We start from the raw sequence: 21,005 nt of genomic DNA on the forward strand, positions 1-21,005 counted from the left end.
TATAAATATACTACATTTTGTTTATCCGTTCATCAATTGATGGACATTTGGGTGGTTTCTCTTTTATGCTATTATGAATACTGCTGCTATGAACATTTGTGTGTGCGTTTTTGTGTAGATACGTTTTTATTTTTCTTGGGTATATACCTAGGAGTGGAATTGCTGGATCATGTGGTAACTCTGTTTAACCCTTTGAGAAACTGTCAGACTATTTTCCAAAGTGGCTACCACCATTTTACAGTCCCATGAGCAATATATGAGAATTTGAATATCTCCACATTCTTGCTAACATTTGTTATTGTCTATCTTTTTTCAGGTAGTCATCTTATTGGGTGTGAAATGACATCTGGTGGTTTTGATTTTCATTTCCCTGGTGGCTAATAATGTTGATCATCTTTTCAAGTGCTTATTGACCATTTGTATATCCTTTTTGGAGAACTATCTATTCACTTCCTTTGCCCATTTTTAAATTGGGCTATTGTATTAGTCCATTTTCATGCTGCTGATAAAGACATACCTGAGACTGGGAAGAAAAAGAGGTTTAATTAGGAACTTACAGTTCCACATGGCTGGGGAGGCCTCAGAATCATGGCGAGGGATAAAAGGCACTTCTTACATGGTGGCGGCAAGAGAAAAATGACAAAGATGTAAAAGGGGAAATCCTGATAAAACCATCAGATCTCATGAGACTTATTAACCTACCACAAGAACAGTATGGGAGAAACTGCCCCCATGATTCAAATTATCTTCCACTGGGTCCCTCTCACCGCATGTGGGAATTATGGGATTACAATTCAAGATGAGATTTGGGTGGGGACACAGAGCCAAACCATATCATTCCACCCCTGGCCCCTCCAAATCTCATGTCCTCACATTTCAAAACTAATCACGCCTTCCCAACAGTCCCCCAAAGTCTTAACTCATTTTAGCATTAACCCAGAAGTCCACAGTAAAAAGTCTCATCTGAGACAAGACAAGTCCCTTCTGCCTATGAGCCTGTAAAATCAAAAGCAAGCTAGTTACTTCCTAGATACAATGGGGGTACAGGTATTGGGTAAATACAGTTGTTCCAAATGGGAGAAATTGGCCAAAACAAAACAGTTACAGGGCCCATGCAAGTCCAAAATCCAGTGGGGCAGTCAAATTTTAAAGCTCCAAAATAATCTCCTTTGACTCCAGGTCTCACATCCAGGTCACACTGATGCAAGAGGGCCCAACCCCACGCAGAGAGCCAACCCCACATTTCCCTTCTGCACTGTCCTAGCAGAGGTTCTCCATGAGAGCCCTGTCCCTGCAGCAAACTTCTGCCTGGCCATTCAGGCATTCCCATACATCTTCTGAAATCTAGGCGGAGGTTCCCAAACCCCAATTCTTGACTTCTGTGAACCTGCAGGCTCAGCAGCATGTGGAGGCTGCTAATGCTTGGGGCTTGCACCCTCTGAAGACATGGCTCGAGCTCTGTGTTGGCCATTTCAGCCATGACTGGAGCAGCTGGGACGCAGGGCACCAAGTCCCTAGACTACACGTAGCACAGGGACCCTGGGCCCTGCCCATGAAACCATTTTTTTCCTCCTAAACCTCCAGGTCTGTGATGGGAGAAGCTCCTGCAAAGGTCTCTGACATGCCCTGGAGACATTCTCCCCATTGTCTTGGAGATTAATATTTGGCTTCTCGTTACTTATGCAAATTTCTGCAGCTGGCTTGAATTTCTCCTCAGAAAATGAGATTTTCTTTTCTATTGCATTGTTAGGCTGCAAATTTTTCAAACTTTTAAGCTCTGTTTCCCTTTTAAAACTGAATGCTTCTAACAGCATCCAAGTCATCTGTAGAATGCTATGCTGCTTAGAAATTTATTCTGCAAGATACTCTAAATCATCTGTCTCAAGTTCAAAGTCCCACAAATCTCTAGGGCAGGGGCAAAATTCCGCCAGTCTCTTTGCTAAAACCTAACGAGAGTCACTTTTGCTCCAGTTTCCAATAAGTTCCTCATCTCCATCTGCAACCAACTCAGCCTGGACCTTACTGTTCATATCATCATCAGCATTTTTGTCAAAGCCATTCAACAAATCTCTAGGAGTTTCAAACTTTCCCACACTTTTCTGTCTTCTGAGTCCTCCAAACTGTTCCAGCCTCTGCCTGTTACCCAGTTCCAAGGGAGTTCTCTGACCCCTTGCACTTCCCAGGTGAGGCGACGGCCCACCCTGCTTCAGCTCGCCCTCCGTGGGCTGCACCCACTGTTTAACTAGTCCCAATGAGATGAGCTGGGTACCTCAGTTGGAAATGCAGAAATCACCCACTTTCTGCATTGATCTTTCTGGGAGCTGCAGACTGGAGCTGTTCTTAGCTGGCCATCTTGCCAGCCACCTTGGTTACTGTAGTTTTGCAGTAAGTTTTGAATGATCAACTTTTTTCCAAATTTGTATCAGTTTTGACATTTGCACATAATTTGTTTGGATTATACTTAACAGATGTTTGGTATTAATATGTGCTTATGATTTGGAATGCTATGGTTAGAGACAATAAAGCATAATGGTTTTGGTCACAAGTGCTGAGTCCAAGAGACCTGGATTTGAAATGACTGTACCACTTACTAGATGTATGAACTTCTATAATCCTCCCTCAGCTTCAGTTTCCCATCTTGAAATGGGAACAATAATACATTAATGGACTTTTCAATTTGTATTGCATGTTCATCATGTGTGTTCAGTGGTGTTTTTAGTGGTGGTATATTGGCTTCTGCTCTAAGAAAATACTAATAAACTTCTACTTATTTGGAGCTTATTTTGCAATAAATATGAGAAAGAAATAAAGCCAGAACAATAGAAAAGTAAGGCAAAACTGCCTGTGGAGTGGTGTAATGAGGAGGAGGCAGAAAGAATCTATGCATGTTCCTTCTCCAGGAATTTAAGAAAACTTCTTTCTACAGTAATTCTTTTAAAATAGTTTAAATAGTTGATCTGCTTGCAAAGGCTTGCAGACATCAAGGAATGTACTTTCTAAGAACTCCTTGGAATCCTTTTAAAAAACTTACTGACTGTGGGATTCTATAAGACAGAACAGGGTAAGTTTACATTTAACTGACTTTTAGCTCCTAGAGCATAATTTGAGTTGTATTAAAAACATTTTTTAAAGCATAAATCTGTTAAAAACAATAGTAAATAGCAAGAGTTCAGAGGACATAAGCTAAGCATTTTCCAGCATGTAGTAACCAATATACTAATGTTAGGCATTGGCACTATTACTGTATTGAAAAAAGGGCTTGGGCTCCATTTTTTTTATATTTGGAAAAATATTTGTTAACAATTTTCTATTCTATGCTACTCCTGGGAGGAAGCTTCAAAGGCCTCAGCCACAAGTAGCTCTAGCTCAAGCAAAAACAAAGCATGTTGAGAATTGTGAACAATCAGTGATGCAACACAAGGTGGTGCTCTTGTCCCAGTGAGTGCTGTAGAGCCTTGTTAGGGCATTAGGCAAAGGATGTACAACTCCAAAAGATTTGGTTGGTATAAACGCCAATGGGGATCTGCCGGACAGACTGAACAGCTGACTGGGGGGCACAAAGCCAAAGGTGACTTTTCTTAGAATGTAGACTGGTATAATAATGCAGGGGTGCAAAAAGCAGCGTAGCAAAAACCTAAGAAAGATAAGAACGAGTGTCTGTGCTTTACAGTATATTTATTACTTGCCCTTATTATTCATTTTAGTCTTAATAACAATCATCTTTACACTGCTTTGCCATACACTTGCCTAAAACAAATGTTAGATAATGATATTTCTATGTAGAAATAATGGCTTCCCATGGTCTTCATGATAAAATCCTGCTTTGTCTCCTGGCAACTTTCACCCCTTCTTCAGGACTGAAATGTCTGAAGTTCCTGAAATGCATCCTTCTCTCTTGTCTCTGTGATTTTGCACAAGTTGGTGTTCTACCTGGAACTTTCTTTCTCCTTTCATCTTCTTGGACAATTCCTGTTCCTTCTTTCTGGGTTAACACAGCTATCACCCCCTCCTAGGCCTTCCTTAATTACCTCCACGTAACAGGAATGTGCGCATTGAAGCTATTAATAGTATATGTGAAGTACTTAATAGATGTATTCACTTAACAAATGGTATCTACTGTTTTCATACAAGTCCAATAGTTTTAGTCTATGTACATATCAATCATTTTTATGTATTTATTTATGGGTATTTACTATTTTCTAGATCTTTTGGTCACTTATGTCTTTATTAATAACCAGACTGTCACTTCATATTCTCAGTGTAAAATCTTCCTTTTTATACAGATGATATTTTATGTTTTGTTTACAGTATGCTTCCTGATTAGTTAGTTGAATAAGTAGTTTCTCAGTCCTCATGTACAAGGTGCTGTTCTAAACACTGAAAGTATAGGACATAAAAATGGATAGCATAATGGAGACACCTATTGTCTAGTGATTCTTAATATTTATTGTTCTTTAGAATTTTAAGATTAAATTGCATCGTTGCTTTGGAGAGAAAACTGATAATGTTTTTCCTGGTTTACAGCTTTTTTTCTGCTATGAAACAGCTTGTTTTATGCTATTTTCTAACTATAGTTTATATTATTGATTTTAAAAAGCATTAATGCTTGCCCATAGTAAAACTGTTAGCACATTTCTGCTAATTAACACTGCCTTAAAGGATCCTATTGATATTCATCATTATATCTTTGGATTAAAAAAACACTAGAGGATACTAAGGTCAACCATAAAATTTGTCCCCTTTTCAAGATCTTATTCAGAATTGTGAATGAAGGCCTTTTAATAGTCAGGGTTCTGGCAAGAATCCGAGGGCCCATTCGAACCAGGTAATTTGAGAAGAGGACTTTTTTACAAACCTGCAGGCAGAGTTTAGAAAACCCAACTATGCCAGATCTAGCAAGATGGAGAGACAGTATTATTTCTTTTCTTTTCGTTTCTTTTCTTTTCTTTTTTGTTTTCTTTTCTTTTTTTTTTTTTTTTTTTTTTTTTGAGAAGAAGTCTCACTCTGTCACTCAGGCTGGAGGGCAGTTGTTCGATATCGGCTCACTGCAACCTCCGCCTCCCGGGGTCAAACAATTCTCCTGCCTCAGCCTCCCAAGTAGCTGGGATTACAGGCATGTGCCACCATGCCTGGCTAATTTTTGTACTTTTAGTATAGATGAGGTTTCACCATGCTGGCCAGGCTGGTTTCGAACTCCTGACCTAGTGATCTGTCTGCCTCGGTCTCCCAAAGTACTGGGATTACAGGTGTAAGCCACTGCACCCAGCCTGAGAGACCGTATTATTTCTAGGCCTGAAGAAGCAAGGGGAGAGAGCAGATACTGTAACACAGAGTGGGTGGCTGTTTGGAGATAACTGCCCAACCAGAGCTGAAGCTTCCCAAAGAGAGACCAAATGATTCACAATGACCCAGCAGGCAGGGAGCAAGGAAATTAACAGTCTTACCTCATTCTCCTATCAACCCCAATCTGCCACCAGGCTTCCCACTGACAGAACCTCATGGAACCTAGAGGGCAAGGGATTCAGTAGACACGGTCCATGCAGGTCAGTTTCCTGTAGCACAGACCAGGGTGGAGAAGGGTGTGGTGTGGATCTGGCGAAGTGAATGAAAGAAACTCAGCACAGGCCTTACGTTGTTCATAAAGTGGAAGACTCGGCTATTGATTTTTTTTAATTAAAAGAAATATGAATTTATCCCTACACATATTTGTCATGTCTACAGATCAATGCCTTTTTCATGAAAAGTATCCTTTCTTCCTATTTTTTTCTTTAATTTATTCAATTAATATTTATTGAATCCTTCTTTGAGCAGGTGCTGAAGATACAGAGATAAAGACACCATCAGATGGGGATAAGAGAAATAATCAAACCATCACCTTATGGCCTACTGTAAGCGTGGTGAATTAGGGGGAAGTGCAGGGGACAATGGGAGCTCACAGATGAGGTAGCTACTTCACCTTATAGATTGTCTGAAAGGCTTCCTGGAGGAGGTGATTTGGGCATAATCCTTGCTCAGCTTAATTGTTTGGTCTCTATTCCCATGTTGAATGTATTTTATTACCATTAGGAATGCAAATTTTGAGGCACATCTCTGAATCTTGTCTTTAAACAAACTACCAAATGTGGATCACCTTATGAAACAGTATGTACATTTTTATGGTATTGAAACATATTGCCACATTGCCTTCAGAAAGGTTGTATACTATTAATATTACCATAAACAGTGTATGAGGGCACGTTTGGCACACACTTGCACTATCACTATGCATTATGTATTTTGAATATTTTCCAATTTTGTTTGCTCCTTTCTGTTAGCTGGCTGTTTGTGTCAGCTTCACCCTAGCAATGGCTTTTTATGTTGAAGAAGCATTTGGTTCCAATTTCCATTTTCTTTATATATTCCCAGAACTAGCCTTATTTTGCCATCCCAGAAATACCTGCAGCTATGGTAGTGTTCTGTCCTCCAATGTTTAAGTTCCGACTTCTTTCACGATTCATTATACTAATCCATTTTGTTTATGTTGGAAGTTTTCTTTATTATATGTTCCAATAATCCCACATTTCTACTTTGTCTCTATTCCATTTTCCACTGGGAGTCAGAGTATTCATAAGAGATAAATTATCTGCCATTCCTTGAGGCAGAAACCCTCAGTATTCTTTCTTCATTTCTGTTGTAGCTCTACTTCTCTATTCCTTTTATTCAGTTCAATTTTTTTTGTGGCTTCTCTTTTTTTCTTGATCAATTGTGCCAGAAGTTTTCAAATTTTATTAATATTTTTAAAGATTTATTTTATTTGTTTAATGAATTTCTCTGTTGCCTCTTTTTTTTCCCAGTTTATCTACTGCTGCTGTTATCCATATTATTTCTTTCTAAAATATATTGGTCTTCCTCCTGCTTTATAATCTTCTTCTGCAGCTGTCTTTGGCAGATTTTAACAGGAATTAACTGACAAAGGGGAAACGCAATTCTCAAAGTTTCTGTCCCAACTTTACAAAATAAAGAAAAGAAGGATGGGTTTAGATCAGAGAGACAGTAACTTAAGAACTAACCAATATGATCCAAATGATATATTCTTGGAATTTAGCTTTTATTTTCCAAGGGAAAAATATTAAATTAATTTTTTCTTTCTTTCTTCCTGTTCTTGTTCATTTTGTTCTTGCTGTTTTTCTCTTCCCCTTCTTTTTCCTCCTTCTCCCACTTCTTCAGTTATAGCTCTGAACACAGATAAAATAATGGTTATCTATAGAAGAATGAAGAAGCTATGGTATCCATGTCTTTGTCAGCATGTACTGCATTCTTGAAACACTGAATTTCTTGTAACATTTAATGAACTGCTCTTGCAATAACAGGATGTTGAGTGTTGAGAGATAAGTGATTAAGTTAGATCTGGATTTGAGTCCCGGCTTATTTATTAACTAAGCCTATGGCCTTGGATAAGTTACCTAACCTCTCCAACGCTCAGTTTTCTTTTTTGCCCTGAGGGTAAAATAAAATAATACGTGTGAAACCTAGTGCCTGGCACAAGATAAGTGCTCAGTAAATGCTAGCTGTTTATTATAATTTTCCATATTAAACCACTGTGGAATACTTTTTCTGTCATATAAAACATTGTTGAAATGCCTGCCATATATTAGTGCCCTGAAGTCCAAAGGTAGAGGAACCGAGTGTTTAAAAATTACTGTGGCTGTGGAGTCAACATGATGTAAAAAAACAAACATTTGGATAACACCAAGAAGCCAGATATGGTTGAAATGTTGACTGGTTGACAAAAATAATTTGGGTTGCTTAATGGTGCACAAAGGTAATGCAAAACACACTCTCTAGATATATAATATCTTCACCTTTAATTTCTTTCTAAAGTACCTAAGAATTGGAATTTTTTTCCTCAATAGTAACTGTGTGGGTTATACTCAGTTTGAGACATTTCTGATTCCTACAAGTAGAAGAAAAAAATTTTTTACAGTGATATTTTCTCTTTTATAGAAATTGTATTACTTATAAATTTCTTGCCTTATAAGTTATACACCATTTAAAACGCATTCGATGTTTAAATAATTGTCTGCAAGAAGCAGCAGCAATTCTGCAGGACTTTTGGCCCGTATTTAAACTGGATAGCTTTCTATGCACAAGCCTCTGTACTAAGTGGTAGTCAAAGATCTGTATAGTTAGCTCAATTCAGTTCCACGAACATAAATTGGGATCTTACAACAGGCTAACAGAACGGGCATCCATGAACAAAAGGCTGCATGTTTATGTATGAATAGAAAAAGATAGCAGACCATATCAACTTAAGCCACTGTTAATGATATTGTCTTAGTAAAAGAATGACAGCAATATGCTAGATGCCTGTTAAGCCTCCAAAAACACATTCTCAATCTGATTACAATAGCAACACTTTTTGTAAGACTTTAAGTAATACTTTAAAAAAAACTGTGGGCTAGGCGTGGTGGCTCACGCCTGTAATCCCAGCACTTCGGGAGGCCGAGGCGGGCGGATCACCTGAGGTCAGGAGTTTGAGACCTGCCTGACCAATATGGCGAAACCCTGTCTCTACTAAAACTACAAAACATTAGCTGGGAGTGGTGGTGCGTGCCTGTAATCCCAGCTACTTGGGAGGCTGAGGCAGGGGAATCACTTGAACCCGGGAGGCGGAGGTTGCAGTGAGCCAAGATCGTGCCATTGCACTACAGCCTGGGCAACAAGAGTGAAACCCCCTCTCAAAACAAAACAAAACAAAACAAAACAAAAACAAACAAAAAAGAACAACAAAAAACCTGTGGCATTATTATTACTGTTTTACAAAAGATTAGTTATTTGAATACATGAATTTTAGAAAATTCGCTTGCAGATCCTTAGAAGGGGTAGATATTATCTGGACAAGCCTATTGCACTGCACAATTTCCTAATAGATAATTAGTATATACATTTTATGGTTAATTAAAGCTAATATTTCTGAATAACTCTGAGCCTTTCTTTTGAATAGTCTGTGGTATTTTTCAACTTATTTTCTTCTTTTTATTACTTTCTTTTTGAACTTGCTGCTTTTCTCTCCAATTCTAATTTCCATTAAACTTGTGCAACTGAATTAGGTCATTTTAATATTGCTGCTAATAAGACACTTTTCAAATTAACATTCTAGTTCTCTTTGGATGGTTAGCTACTGATTCAAAACCAATAATGTTAAAATAACATTAATTAATGCAGTCCTTAACTTTGCCTAACAGCAATGTGATGTGAGAGAGAAACATGCTCTCCAGGTTTTGCATCTGACAACAGGCTCAGATAGGTTAAGAAACTGTTCAAATTGCAGAGCAATTTAGAGCAGAAGAGAGATTAGAATTCAAGTTCTCTTATTCCCTACTATGTTTGTATACCCAACATTATTTTGTCATCATTTAAATAGTGTTACAGAGCATTCCCACATACTCCAGAGAGGAACAAAGATTTACATATTCCAAAGTGTTAGGTCTCTCTGTCAAAATGTATTTGCATCATTTGTCTTTTGAAGTCCTTCATAAAATGTGTTTAGCAGAAACATTTCTTTAACTTTGTTGTAAAAAGCCATCTGGAACTCTTGGTATACAGTTGTGTAACTGAGTAAACATTGGAAATAATTTGTAATTTGAGACCACCAGATGGAAGAAAAAGATCAGAAAATTACATTAAGAAAATCTATAGGATCTATTTTTGTCTGTTTTAAAAACACTATTTCTCTAGAGGATTGCTATAGCTACATTATAGACTATCTGGTAACTTCAAGGGGGAAAATTGTTGGTTCAGTTTTACAGATGTTATCACATTACAATGTTTTTTCTTCTAGTTTATACCCACACCCCATTATATCTATTTTTTAAAAATATAATTATATATACAGTGAATATATTCTGATTCTTTACTATGATAACGTAAGCACTATATTTTCAACTAGAAAATTCAAAAGAAAAAGTTAAATTTTGAAATACTTTTAAAAATAATAAAAATGTGAGTCAATTATAAATCTGTCACTAAATAAGGACAGTTTTAACTGTGAAAGACTTTTCAGTTGTTGAACTAAAGAAAGAAAATAATTATAAGATAATATTTACTTTTCCAAATGAAAAAAGCATTTTTTTAATGCAAAGCATTTAACTATGAAAACCATGAATCTTTAAATTTTATCTATGTATATATTTTAAAGACAGGGTCTCACTCTGTCACCTAGGCTGGAATGCAGTGGCTGTTCATAGTTCACTGAAGCTCCAACTTCTGGGCTTAAGCAATCCTCTTGCCTCAAACTCCCAAGTAGCTGGGACCTACAGAATAGGACAAAATATTCACAAACTATGCATCCAACAAAGGGTCTAATATCCAGAATCTAGAAGGAACTTAATTCAACAAGCAAAAGAAGACATGAACAGACACTTCTCAAAAGAAGACATGGAAGTGTCCAACAAATGTATGAAAAAATGCTCAACATCACTAATCACCAGAGACATGCAAATCAAAAAACCACAATGAAATACCATCTCACACCAGTCAAAATAGCTATTACTAAGAAGTCAAAAAATAACAGATGCTGGTGAGACTGCAGAGAAAAGGGAATGTTTATACACTGTTGGTGGGAATGTCAATCAGTTCAGCCACTGTGGAAAACAATTTGGAGATTTCTGATAGGACTAGAAATTGAACTACCATTTGACCCAGCAATCTCATGACTGGGTATATTCTCAAAGAAAAGCAAATTATTCTACCAAAAAGACACATGTATTCATATGTTCATCACAGCACTATTTACAATAGCAAAGAGATAGAGTCAACCTAGGTGTCCATCAATGGTGGACTGGATAAAGAAAATGTACATACATATACACCATAGAATACTGTGCAGACATGGAAAAGGACAAAATTATGTCCTTTGCAGAAACATGGATACAGCTGGAGGCCACTATCCTAAGTGAATTATTGTAGGAGCAGGAAACTGAATAGTATATACTCTCACTTATAAGTAGGAGCTAAACACTGGGTACTCATGGACATAAAGATGGCAACAATAGACACTGGAGACTACTAGAGGGGGGAATAAGAGAAAAGAGCAAGGGTCTGAAAAACTACCTATGGGTACCATGCTCACAAGCTGGGTCATGGGATTAATCATACTCTAAACCTCAGCGTTATGCAATATACTCATGTAACAAAACTGCACATGTGCCCCCGAATCTAAAATAAAAGTGGAAATTATTTTTAAAAAAAGTCCAGCAGAAAAAGGTGAGTTATAGATGAAACAATTATATGCATCTGTATGATGCATATTTAAAAATTTTTCTTTACTATTGTGTAGTTTTGCAAATTTTAAATAAAAAGTAAAAAAAAAAAAAAAATACAGTGGTGCCACTCCCAACTACCAAAAAGGATTTCTTATAATAATCTTGAAATCTAGTCTTAGTGGAGAAAGAAAAAGAATTTCCAATTGTGTAGCTCCCATTAACATACCAAGAACCAGGTCTGGGAACTTAGGTTGTTGCATTTTTTCCCAGCTTTGAAATGGTACTGCCTCTAAGGATGATGGCTAGGCCATGAAGTTTGCTATTCTAGGGGAAAAGAGGGATTGGAAGAAAGAAGAAAGCCTGAATCTGTCTGTTCTGTCCCCAGGAGAATGATAAGGGGAGAGAGTAAGAAAGCAATGAGATACACATGTCTTGACTGCTTCTCTTCATGCTGAAATCCTGGGGGAAAGAAGTGCTAAATCAGTTGAGGACATGGGAACATTTATTCTGGTGAGTGGATGTTGAGGGCAGAGGGGTGTTTGCCCCATTCCTTTGGTGTGCTGAGTGTTAACCACTTTGCAGGGAGAGCTGTATGGGGCAGCCCCGACAGAATAAATAGGTGGAACAATGTGAATGTGCAGAGACAGGGTGTCTTTCACACTCCTGAACATTCTTCTCCAAAATCTGTGACAGACAGTAAATTGTCTGACATGGGTCCTTACCAACCACGCTTCAGGAGCAGTACACATCTGAAGACAAGCACTAGTGTATACCTGCCACTTTCCACAGTGCCATGAGAGCACATGAGCCCTCGCCATCCATGTAGCTTCATGCCACTCAGCAAAAGTTTCTAAAGGTGGGAGTGACTTGAAAGTAGACATTTAAACAAAATAAAACAAAAAAGACTGAATTTTCGCACTCTTTTGAGAGTCTGAGAGAGAAAGATACCATAATTCAAAAATTAAAATTTTATCCCTTTTCCTGCTACTCAGTGGGGAGAGAATGTGTGACCAGTTATGGTAAACAAAAAGCTAAACTTTTATCATGCATCTGACAGTGGCGAGAATAAATTTTTAATGCCACCAAAGTAATATTCTGTCTTAATGCATTTGTGTTGCTGTAAAAGAAAACCTGAGGCTGGGTGATTTATAAAGCAAAAAGGTTTATTTGGTTCACGACTCTGCTGGCTGTAAGATTGGGCATCTGGTGAAAACCTCAGGCTGCTACCATTCATGGCAGAAGGTGAAGGGGAGAGATCACATGGTGAGAGAGAAAGCAAGGGGTGGGGAGGTGCCAAGCTGTTTTAAACAACCGACTCTTGGGAACTAACAGAGGAAGAACTTACTCATTACTTCAAGAATGGCATCAAGGCATTCATAAGTGATCTACCCTCCTGACCCAAAACATCTCTCATCAGGCCTCACCTCCAACACAGGAGACCACATTTCAACAAAAGTTTTGGGGGAGAAAACATCGAACTGTAGCATATACATACTCGGCAATTATTCCAAATAATACAAAATGATTTACCAAATAGGTAAGCCATTCTCTAATCCAGACCTCTGGGAGTTCATTCTAACTTCCCAGAAATTCTTATTCTTCCAAAATTGTTTATGTTCAAGTATATTTATGTGTGAGAGAGACTGTTACTTACCCACCAATCACCATTCTCCATTCTTCCTTTAAGCATCGACTCCCTAGTTTTATCTAGGCACATCTAGTGAATGATTGCATTTCTAGGCTCCCTTGGATCTAGGTTTGGCTATGAGACTGTTCTACTCAATGGGATGAGTAAAAATAATGCGTGCCTCTTCTGGGTTATTTCTTTAAAAGGAAAGGCCCTGGCTGGGCGCGGTGGCTCACACCTGTAATCTCAGCACTTCGGGAGGCCAAGGAGGGCGGATCATGAGGTCAAGATCAAGATCATCCTGGCCAACGTGGTGAAACCCCATCTCTACAAAAAATACAAAAATTAGCTGGGCGTGGTGGTGCGTGCCTGTAGTCCCAGCCACTCAGGAGGCTGAGGCAGGAGAATACTTTGAACCTGGGAAGTGGAGGTTGCAGTGAGCCGAGATTGCGCCACTGCACTCCAGCCTGGGTGACAGAACCAGACTCTGTCTCAAAAAAACACAACAAGGAACGGGCCTATTTTTTTTTCCCCTAGAATTTTCCCCTCTTTTCACTAGCTAGCGGGTGGAGAGAGCGGAACAGCTATTTTGAATCTAGAGATAGGTATTATCATGTCAAGGATAGCTGCCCTATCAGTCTCAGACTGCTTGTATCTGGATGTAACATTACAGGAAAATACATTTGAATCTTATTTAAGCTACTGTATTTTGAAGCCTTTTTGTGACAGAGGATTCGTACCATAAATAATATTATACATAAATATATTTTTAAAAACCGAAAACGAACAGAAGCATTCTATAGTACTATCTTCTATCTTATTTTCTCTTTTTTTTCCCTTTAAAAAAATGGTCTCACTCTGTTGCCCAGGCTGGAGTGCAGTGGTGTGATCATAGCTCACTGCAGCCTCAACTCCTGGGCTCAGGCAATCCTCCTGCCTGAGTCTCCTGAGTAGCTGGGGCTACAGGTGCATGCTGCCATGCCCGACTAACTTTCTAATTTTTTTGTAGATATAGGGTCTGGCTATGTTGCCAGGACTGGTTTTGAACTCCTGGCCTCAAGCAATCTTCCTGCCTCAACCTCCTAAACTTGTTGGATTACAGATATGAGCCACCGTGCCCAGCTTGTTTTTGTTTGTCTGTTTTTTTTTTTTTTTTACCATTAATTTCAATTACTAAGTAGATAGTTTTTAAAAATCAATAATAAGCTTTAACATCTTTTTCTGGATTTCTTTTTTATACGTATTCTACCTGGTATCTCCAGAAAGTTCTACACATTCCATTTATTCATTTAACAAATGTTCATTGGGAGCCTATTATGTTCTCTGCCTCAAGTACCAGCTCTGACAACACATGGGCAGACTGGGAACTAATGTCCCCAGAAGCAATCTCTTCAACTAGTGAGAGATGGAGCTGGTGATAGTTCTTAAGTGTCTCCAGTGGTGTGAAGTCTCAGGTGCCCACAGTAGTGACCCACCTATCAGCACACTCTTAATTGGCTTTCTTCTCTTCCTTGCCTCATCTTCTTATTTCCTTACTCTGCTTTCAGGGATTGCCTTCCAAATAGACTCTTTCTACCCAATTCTGGTTTTAGAGTTGGTTTTGGAAGAAACCAAACCAAGACAATGGTCAAGCAAGTTTATTTCTCCATGAGAGCCTTTTGAATAGAAACCTGAATCTTGTGAGGGAGTAAGCCTCAGGAATATTTGAAGGAGGAGAAACTAACAAATCCAAAGGGCTTGAGGTGGGAACATACTTGGCAATTTTAAAGAATAGCAAGAAGGCCATGTGGCTGGAGTGGGGCATGTGAAGGCAGAGAGTTAGGAGATGCCTTCAGAGAGTTAGGCTGGGGCTGATCCTTGTGGGCGATGATAGAGATTTAGGATTTTATTCTCAGTGTCATGTGAAAACATTGGATGGTTGAGGTGGGCATTAATGTAATATGATTTAAGTTTTAAAATATTCTGGAAATTAAGTGTAGCATATTGAGCATACATATTTATCTTTTGTGCAATAAACATATAAAGACAAAGAGAACTAGAAAGGAAGTCACAACGCGGAAGAAGTATTCAACAACATTTTGAAATCTAGAAATATAGAAAAGACCTAACAGATTTAACAGACTAGAGAAAGTTGAAACCTAAGAGAAGTGGGGGAGAGAGAGGCTGTTATAGGTTGAATTGTGTCCCCTAAAAGATGATGTGTTGTGGTCCTAACCTCTGCTACCTCAGAACATGACCTTATTTAGAACAAGAGTCTTTGCAGATTTAGTCATGTTAACATGAAGTCATTAGGTGGGCCTTAATCCAATATAACTGATGTCTTCATAAAGGAAGAAATTTGGGTACAGAGACAGACAAGCACCAAGAGAAGATGATGTGAAGAAGCACAGCGAGAACACCATGTGAAAATGGAGGACTGGAATGAAGCATCTACAAGCCAGGAAATGTCTGAGGCTACCAGAAGCCAGGAGAGAGGCCTGGAACAGATCCTGCACTAGAACCTTCAAAGAGAGCATGGTCCTGCTGACATGTTGATTTTGGACTTCTGGCCTCCAGAGCTGTGAGAATAAATTTCAGTTGTTTTAAGCCATCCAGTTTTTGGTACCTTATTATGGCAGCCCTAGCAAACTAATATAGACTCCGATAAGAATTCAACTGATATATGCCATGAAATTTAGTATATCATCAGGACTGGGAGAAACTGGTAACTTTATAGGTGAATATGAAAGATGATAGGGATAACTGAAGGATTAAGTGATAATAAAAGAGCAGTTAGCTCTTCAGATCTTCCTTCAATTCTGTGCCTCTAGGTGACAACCCTTCCCTTACTACAGCAGGAAACAAGATTTATTCAATAAAGTTGTTGAACCAGAAACATCTCTGGACTCAGGAGGAAGAAAAACGAGTCGTCATATTGAAAATAGGGAAGATAAATAAAGTCAGTATTTTAAATAGTGAGATGTCAGTTCCCTTTTCTCCGCTGATCTCCAGAACATTGGCTACCAGACTTATATATATCTAAGCAGCCAATTAGGGAAACTTACTTTTTGAGGAAACCAGTGAAACTCTGTAAAAACAATAAAATATCTGAATTCTACTCATCCTGCAGCAAAGCCCACAGTCAATAAGTTTCACACAGCTTACAAAGTTTTCAAATAACATTTACTGTCTTCTTTTTAAGTATGTATGCAAAATCAAGGATCACTAGACATTAGAGAGGAGTCTTTTACGCTGGAGATGGAGAACAAAACAACATAGAAACAAAATTCAAAAGAAACAGAAAAGGCTAGTAGCAAAAGAAAACAAAACAAAAACAAAAATTTACAGTTAATCTTAAATATCACAGAATCTATGAATCAAAAACAGGACGCTTTAGAAACATGAATGGTTACCTAAGAAATAAAAAGTAAAACAAAAATATGACAGAAGAAAAAATTTGACAGAATTTGAGTTGGAAGATAAGGAAATTGCCCAGGAAGTAGAACAAAAATACAAAGACATAGAAAATAGGAGGGTAATGGGAGGAAAATTTTAAGAAAACTAGAGAATTTGTACAAGAGCTGTAATATCCAGAATATAGGATTTGCAGAAAGATAAAAAGAAAAGGAGGAAATTATCAATGAAGGAGTTCAAGAAAGTTTCTTAGTGTGGAAGGACATTAATTACTCTTTGAAAAAGACCAATTTTGGATTCAGTGCAATGATTGAAAAAGACCCATAGCAAGGTACTTGATGAAATTCTAGTATGCTGATGACAAAGATTCAAAAGCTTCCAGCAGGAGTAGCTACATAATTTGTTCATCCCAGCACAAAATCAAAATATGGAGGCTCCTTGTTCAAAAGTGATTAAGAACTTGAAGCTGGAAACAGCAGAGCTCTAAACCAAGCATGGGCCCGTTCAGGGTGCAGAGCCCTCTGCTGTTGCACAGGTCACACGATCATGAAGTGACCCAGACCCCCAGGGAGAAAAAGTATCTAGAAATCAGGATATCTCTCCCTTTCCCATCACTCTAAGCTGTGATTCTTACTTTACTCAGGATATAGAAACAAACAGAAGAGGACTTCCCCATCTTTCCAACCCGCAAATTACCAGCTCCCTGCCCTTATTTCTGCAATCTGCTTTCTCTCCTTAAATGATTGAACGTCCTGGTTTCTGTTTAAACTCTATTCTTCAGTTTGTGTGTGGGATCCCATATCCTCTAGCCTATTTAAGATTTTTCTCCTTCATTGAGCTCCTTCCTCCTGCATCGTCAATTTTTGCTTTGCTTTTTGGATTATTTCCATCAGAATATAGATATCACCACCATCTTTGAAAGTACTCACTTGGCCCAAGACCTCTTTCTCTGTTTCCCTTTATAGCAAAATTTATAAAAAGAGCTGCCTTATTTATTTATTTATTTATTTATTTATTTATTCATTCATGTAGAGCAGGGGGTCTTGCTGTGTTACCCAGGCTGGTCTCAGATTCTTGGCCTCAAGCAATTCTCCTGCCTTAGCTTCCCTAATAGCTGGGACTGCAAGTGTGAACCACCACAAAAAAGAGCTGTCTCTACTCACCTCCACTTCCTCTTCTTTCCCATTCTCTCCTCAATACTTCAGTCAGGCTGATACATGTATTACTCCACTGAAACTACTATTGTCAAAGCCAACAGTGACCCCCATCTAATCAAAACCAATGGTTAAATCTGAGGACTTATTTTCCTCAAACTTTCAGGAGAATTTGAGATTATAAATTATTCGTTTATCCTCAATTTTTTAAATAGGACACCGCATGCTCCTAGTTTTCCTCTGACTTCACTACTCTTCTGTTTCCCTTGCTGACTCCTCCCTTATACCAGAGCTTGGATTATTGGTGTTATCCAGAGCTGGGTCCTTAGTCATCTTTGTTCTCTCTACTTTCTCCATCTAATCAATTAATTTTATCTCATGGTATAATACCGATCAATACATTGCCGTTTCTTGTATTTAGGCCTTTAGCTCCAGATTCTCCCTTGAGTTTAAATCTATATGTTCAAATGCCTATTTGGAGTCTACTTGGATGTCTAATAGGTAACTCAGATATAACATATACAAAATAGAACCCAATTTTCTCCTAGAAATCTCCAGTCTTACCAGTCCAATCAAATGACTCCATCATTAATGCAGTTGCTTTGGCCAAAACACTAGTAGTTATCCTTGATTCCACTCTCCCTCATATGCCACATCAAATTAACCACCACCCATTAGATCATACTGGTTCTAATTCCCAAATATATCCTGATTGCTGATTTCCCACCACTCCTGTCATGACCCTGGACTCTCCCAGTACCATTGCAATAGCTCCCTAACTCTCCCTTCTTCCTGCCTGTGTTGCCTCCTTACTATCCACTCTCCATATAATGACCAGAACAATCTTCAGAAAGCCCTATAGTATAAGAAGTATGTTTATTATCCCCTTTTACAGATAAGACAACTGGAGCTGAAAATGGTTAGGAAATGTATCCAATATCAGACAGCTAGTAAATAGTAATATAAAATTTAAATCTAGATGCCTTCCTAGAGTGCCCTTTCCCCTCCTGTGTTTTGATATTCTTTAATCTTTGTGTCTGGAGTACCTATCTCTGCACACTGAGTAGCAACTGGCACACAATATACACTTAATAAATTGTTGAATTAATTAATAGCACTTGGCCATAGGTGCTATTCAAAAACCATATTCAATAAATGGTTTTTATTTGAGTGTCTTAGAATATAAGCTCTGTAGAAGGTAAGATTTTAGAGGAACCATTTTATGATACATCTCATTCACAATGAACTTTTTTTTTTTTTTTTTTTTTTTTTTTTTGAGACAGAGTCTCACTCCATCACCAGGCTGCAGTGGAGTAGTGCACTCTTGGCTCACTGCAACCTCCACCTCTCAGGTTCAAGTGATTTTCCTGCCTCAGCCTCCCGAGTAGCTGGGATTACAGGTGTGCGCTGCCACGCCCAGCTAATTTTTGTATTTTTAGTAGAGACTGGGTTTTGCTATGTTAGTCAGGCTGGTCTCAAACTCCTGACTTCAAGTGATCCACCTGCCTTGGCCTCCTAAACTGCTGGCATTATAGGCATGAGCCACCGTGCCTGACCCCACACTGAACCTTGAATTTGCTATTACGCTGGGAACAGGCCCCCAAATCTGGCCATAAACTGGCCCCAAAACTGGCCATAAAGAAAATCTCTGCAGCACTGTGACATGTTCATAATGGCCATGATGCCCACACTGAAGGTTGTGGGTTTACTGGAATGAGGGCAAGGAACATCTGGCCCACCCAGGGTGGAAAACTGCTTAAAGGTGTTCCTGAACCACAAACAATAGCATGAGCAATCTGCACCTTAAGGACATGTTCCCACTGCAGATAACTAGCCAGACCCATCCCTTAATTTTGGCCCATCCCTTTGTTTCCTGTAAGAAATACTTTCAGTTAATCTACAATCTATAGAAACAATGCTTATCACTGATTTGCTGTCAGTAAATATGTGGGTAAATCTCTGTTCGAGGCTCTCAGCTCTGAAGGCTGTGAGGACCCCTGATTTCCCACTCCACGCCTCTATATTTCTGTGTGTGTCTTCAATTCCTCTAGCGCTGCTGTGTTAGGGTCTCCACGACTGAGCTGGTCCCAGCAAGAGGTGCCCAACATGGAGGCTCGAACCCAGGTCGAAGGGTCACCAGAGTGATGGTTGGAGAATGTGGAACTAAGCTGGAGTACACCCGAGTACTCTTAAGCAATCCCTGTGGTGAGTAAGAGGGGAGCTCGGAAGCATCAGGGTAACAATGGGACTAGTGTGGGCTCTGGTTCGTTCCACCTTGGAACCTTTTCACACTGATGATGAAGAAGAAGGAAAGTATAAGGAAGTAACAGAAGAAGTAACAGAGCAGGTTTGTTTGCCAACTAAAGCTAAAGTGGCAAAGGAGGAAGAGGTTCATCCCTACTCTTCTGCACCCCCTCATTATTTTGAAGAAAAAGAGTGTCCTGACCCTCCAGATCTTTCTTTTCCGGAGGACACTGGGTGAAAGTTGTTGCCCTAGTGACTGTTCGAGCAGCACCTCGAGCGACCACTCTCAGCTCTGTTCAGGCAGGAATTCAGCAAGCTAGAAGAGAGGGTGATTTAGAGGCTTGGCAGTTCCCTGCTAGAATACACCCCACAGATCAACAGGGAAATGTTATAGCTACATTTGAGTCTTTTCCTTTTAAATTACTCAAAGAATTTAGACAAGCTATTAGTCAATATGGACCAGGTTCTCCTTCTGTAATGGGACTGTAAAGAATGTTGCTCTTTCCAGTCGATGATTCCTACCAACTGGGATGCTCTTACTTGAGCTTGTCTAAATCCTGCTCACTTCTTACAATTTAAAACTTGGTGGGCAGATGAAGCTTCCATTCAGGCTCCTCACAATGCCCAGGCCCAACCTCAAATTAATATGACTGCAGACCAACTTTTAGGGGTCGGCAGCTGGGCTGGTTTAGATGCACAAGTGGTCATGCAGGACTATGCCATAGAACAGCTTAGAGGAGTGTGCATTAGAGCTTGGGAAAAAAGTCACTTCGGGTGAAGAACAATACCCTTCCTTTAGCATTGTAAAACAGGGACCAAGAGAACCATACACGGATTTTATAGCTTGGTTACAGGAGTCTCTTAAAAAGGTGATTGCAGATTCAGCTGCTCAGGATATAGTGTTGTGGTTATTAGCTTTCGACAATGCTAATCCCGATTGCCAGGCTGCTCTGCGACCTATCAGAGGGAAAGCACATTTAGTTGATTATATCAAGGCCTGTGATGGTATTGGAGATAATCTGCATAAGGCTACTCTGCTAGCCCAGGTAATGGCAGGAGTGAGAGTGGGTAAAGGAATACTCCATTTCCTGGAGCTTGTTTTAACTGTGGGAAGCATGGTTATACTAAAAAAGAATGTAGAAACAATCAGCGAGTCAGGCCACCAGATAAGGGAAAAAAGAAAACTGCTGAGCCTGAAATATGTCCAAAATGTAAAAAAGGAAAACATTGGGCTAGTCATTGTCACTCTAAGTTTGATAAAGATGGGAACCTGATTTCGGGAAACGACATGAGGGGCCCATCCTGGGCCCCATTCCAAACGGGGCATTTCCAGCTCAGGCCATT

At 39.1% G+C, this 21,005-nt stretch overlaps 1 long non-coding RNA gene across 1 annotated transcript in view, besides 3 other annotated features; it reads left to right on the forward strand.

Moving 5' to 3' along the window:
- ANKRD17-DT (ANKRD17 divergent transcript) overlaps positions 1-20,880 on the forward strand; it is a 99,858-nt gene extending 78,978 nt beyond the window's left edge. Inside the window, exons 4-5 of the long non-coding RNA NR_187399.1 lie at positions 11,629-11,753; positions 19,469-20,880. This is a non-coding gene — a long non-coding RNA (ANKRD17 divergent transcript). The remainder of the gene's footprint in view (positions 1-11,628; positions 11,754-19,468) is intronic.
- Positions 943-1,444: an enhancer, noted in NCBI's record as "H3K4me1 hESC enhancer chr4:74204803-74205304 (GRCh37/hg19 assembly coordinates)". NCBI's record gives its function as "activates a minimal SCP1, AML or CMV promoter by ChIP-STARR-seq in naive H9 embryonic stem cells {active_cell/tissue: H9 hESC(naive)}" and the evidence as "EXISTENCE:reporter gene assay evidence [ECO:0000049][PMID:30033119]".
- Positions 1,445-1,944: an enhancer, noted in NCBI's record as "H3K4me1 hESC enhancer chr4:74205305-74205804 (GRCh37/hg19 assembly coordinates)". NCBI's record gives its function as "activates a minimal SCP1, AML or CMV promoter by ChIP-STARR-seq in naive H9 embryonic stem cells {active_cell/tissue: H9 hESC(naive)}" and the evidence as "EXISTENCE:reporter gene assay evidence [ECO:0000049][PMID:30033119]".
- Positions 5,163-5,664: an enhancer, noted in NCBI's record as "OCT4-NANOG hESC enhancer chr4:74209023-74209524 (GRCh37/hg19 assembly coordinates)". NCBI's record gives its function as "activates a minimal SCP1, AML or CMV promoter by ChIP-STARR-seq in primed H9 embryonic stem cells {active_cell/tissue: H9 hESC(primed)}" and the evidence as "EXISTENCE:reporter gene assay evidence [ECO:0000049][PMID:30033119]".
- Positions 20,881-21,005: the final 125 nt, after the last annotated feature.

Source organism: Homo sapiens, chromosome 4 (genome assembly GCF_000001405.40).
Source record: "Homo sapiens chromosome 4, GRCh38.p14 Primary Assembly".
Taxonomy (NCBI): domain Eukaryota; kingdom Metazoa; phylum Chordata; class Mammalia; order Primates; family Hominidae; genus Homo; species Homo sapiens.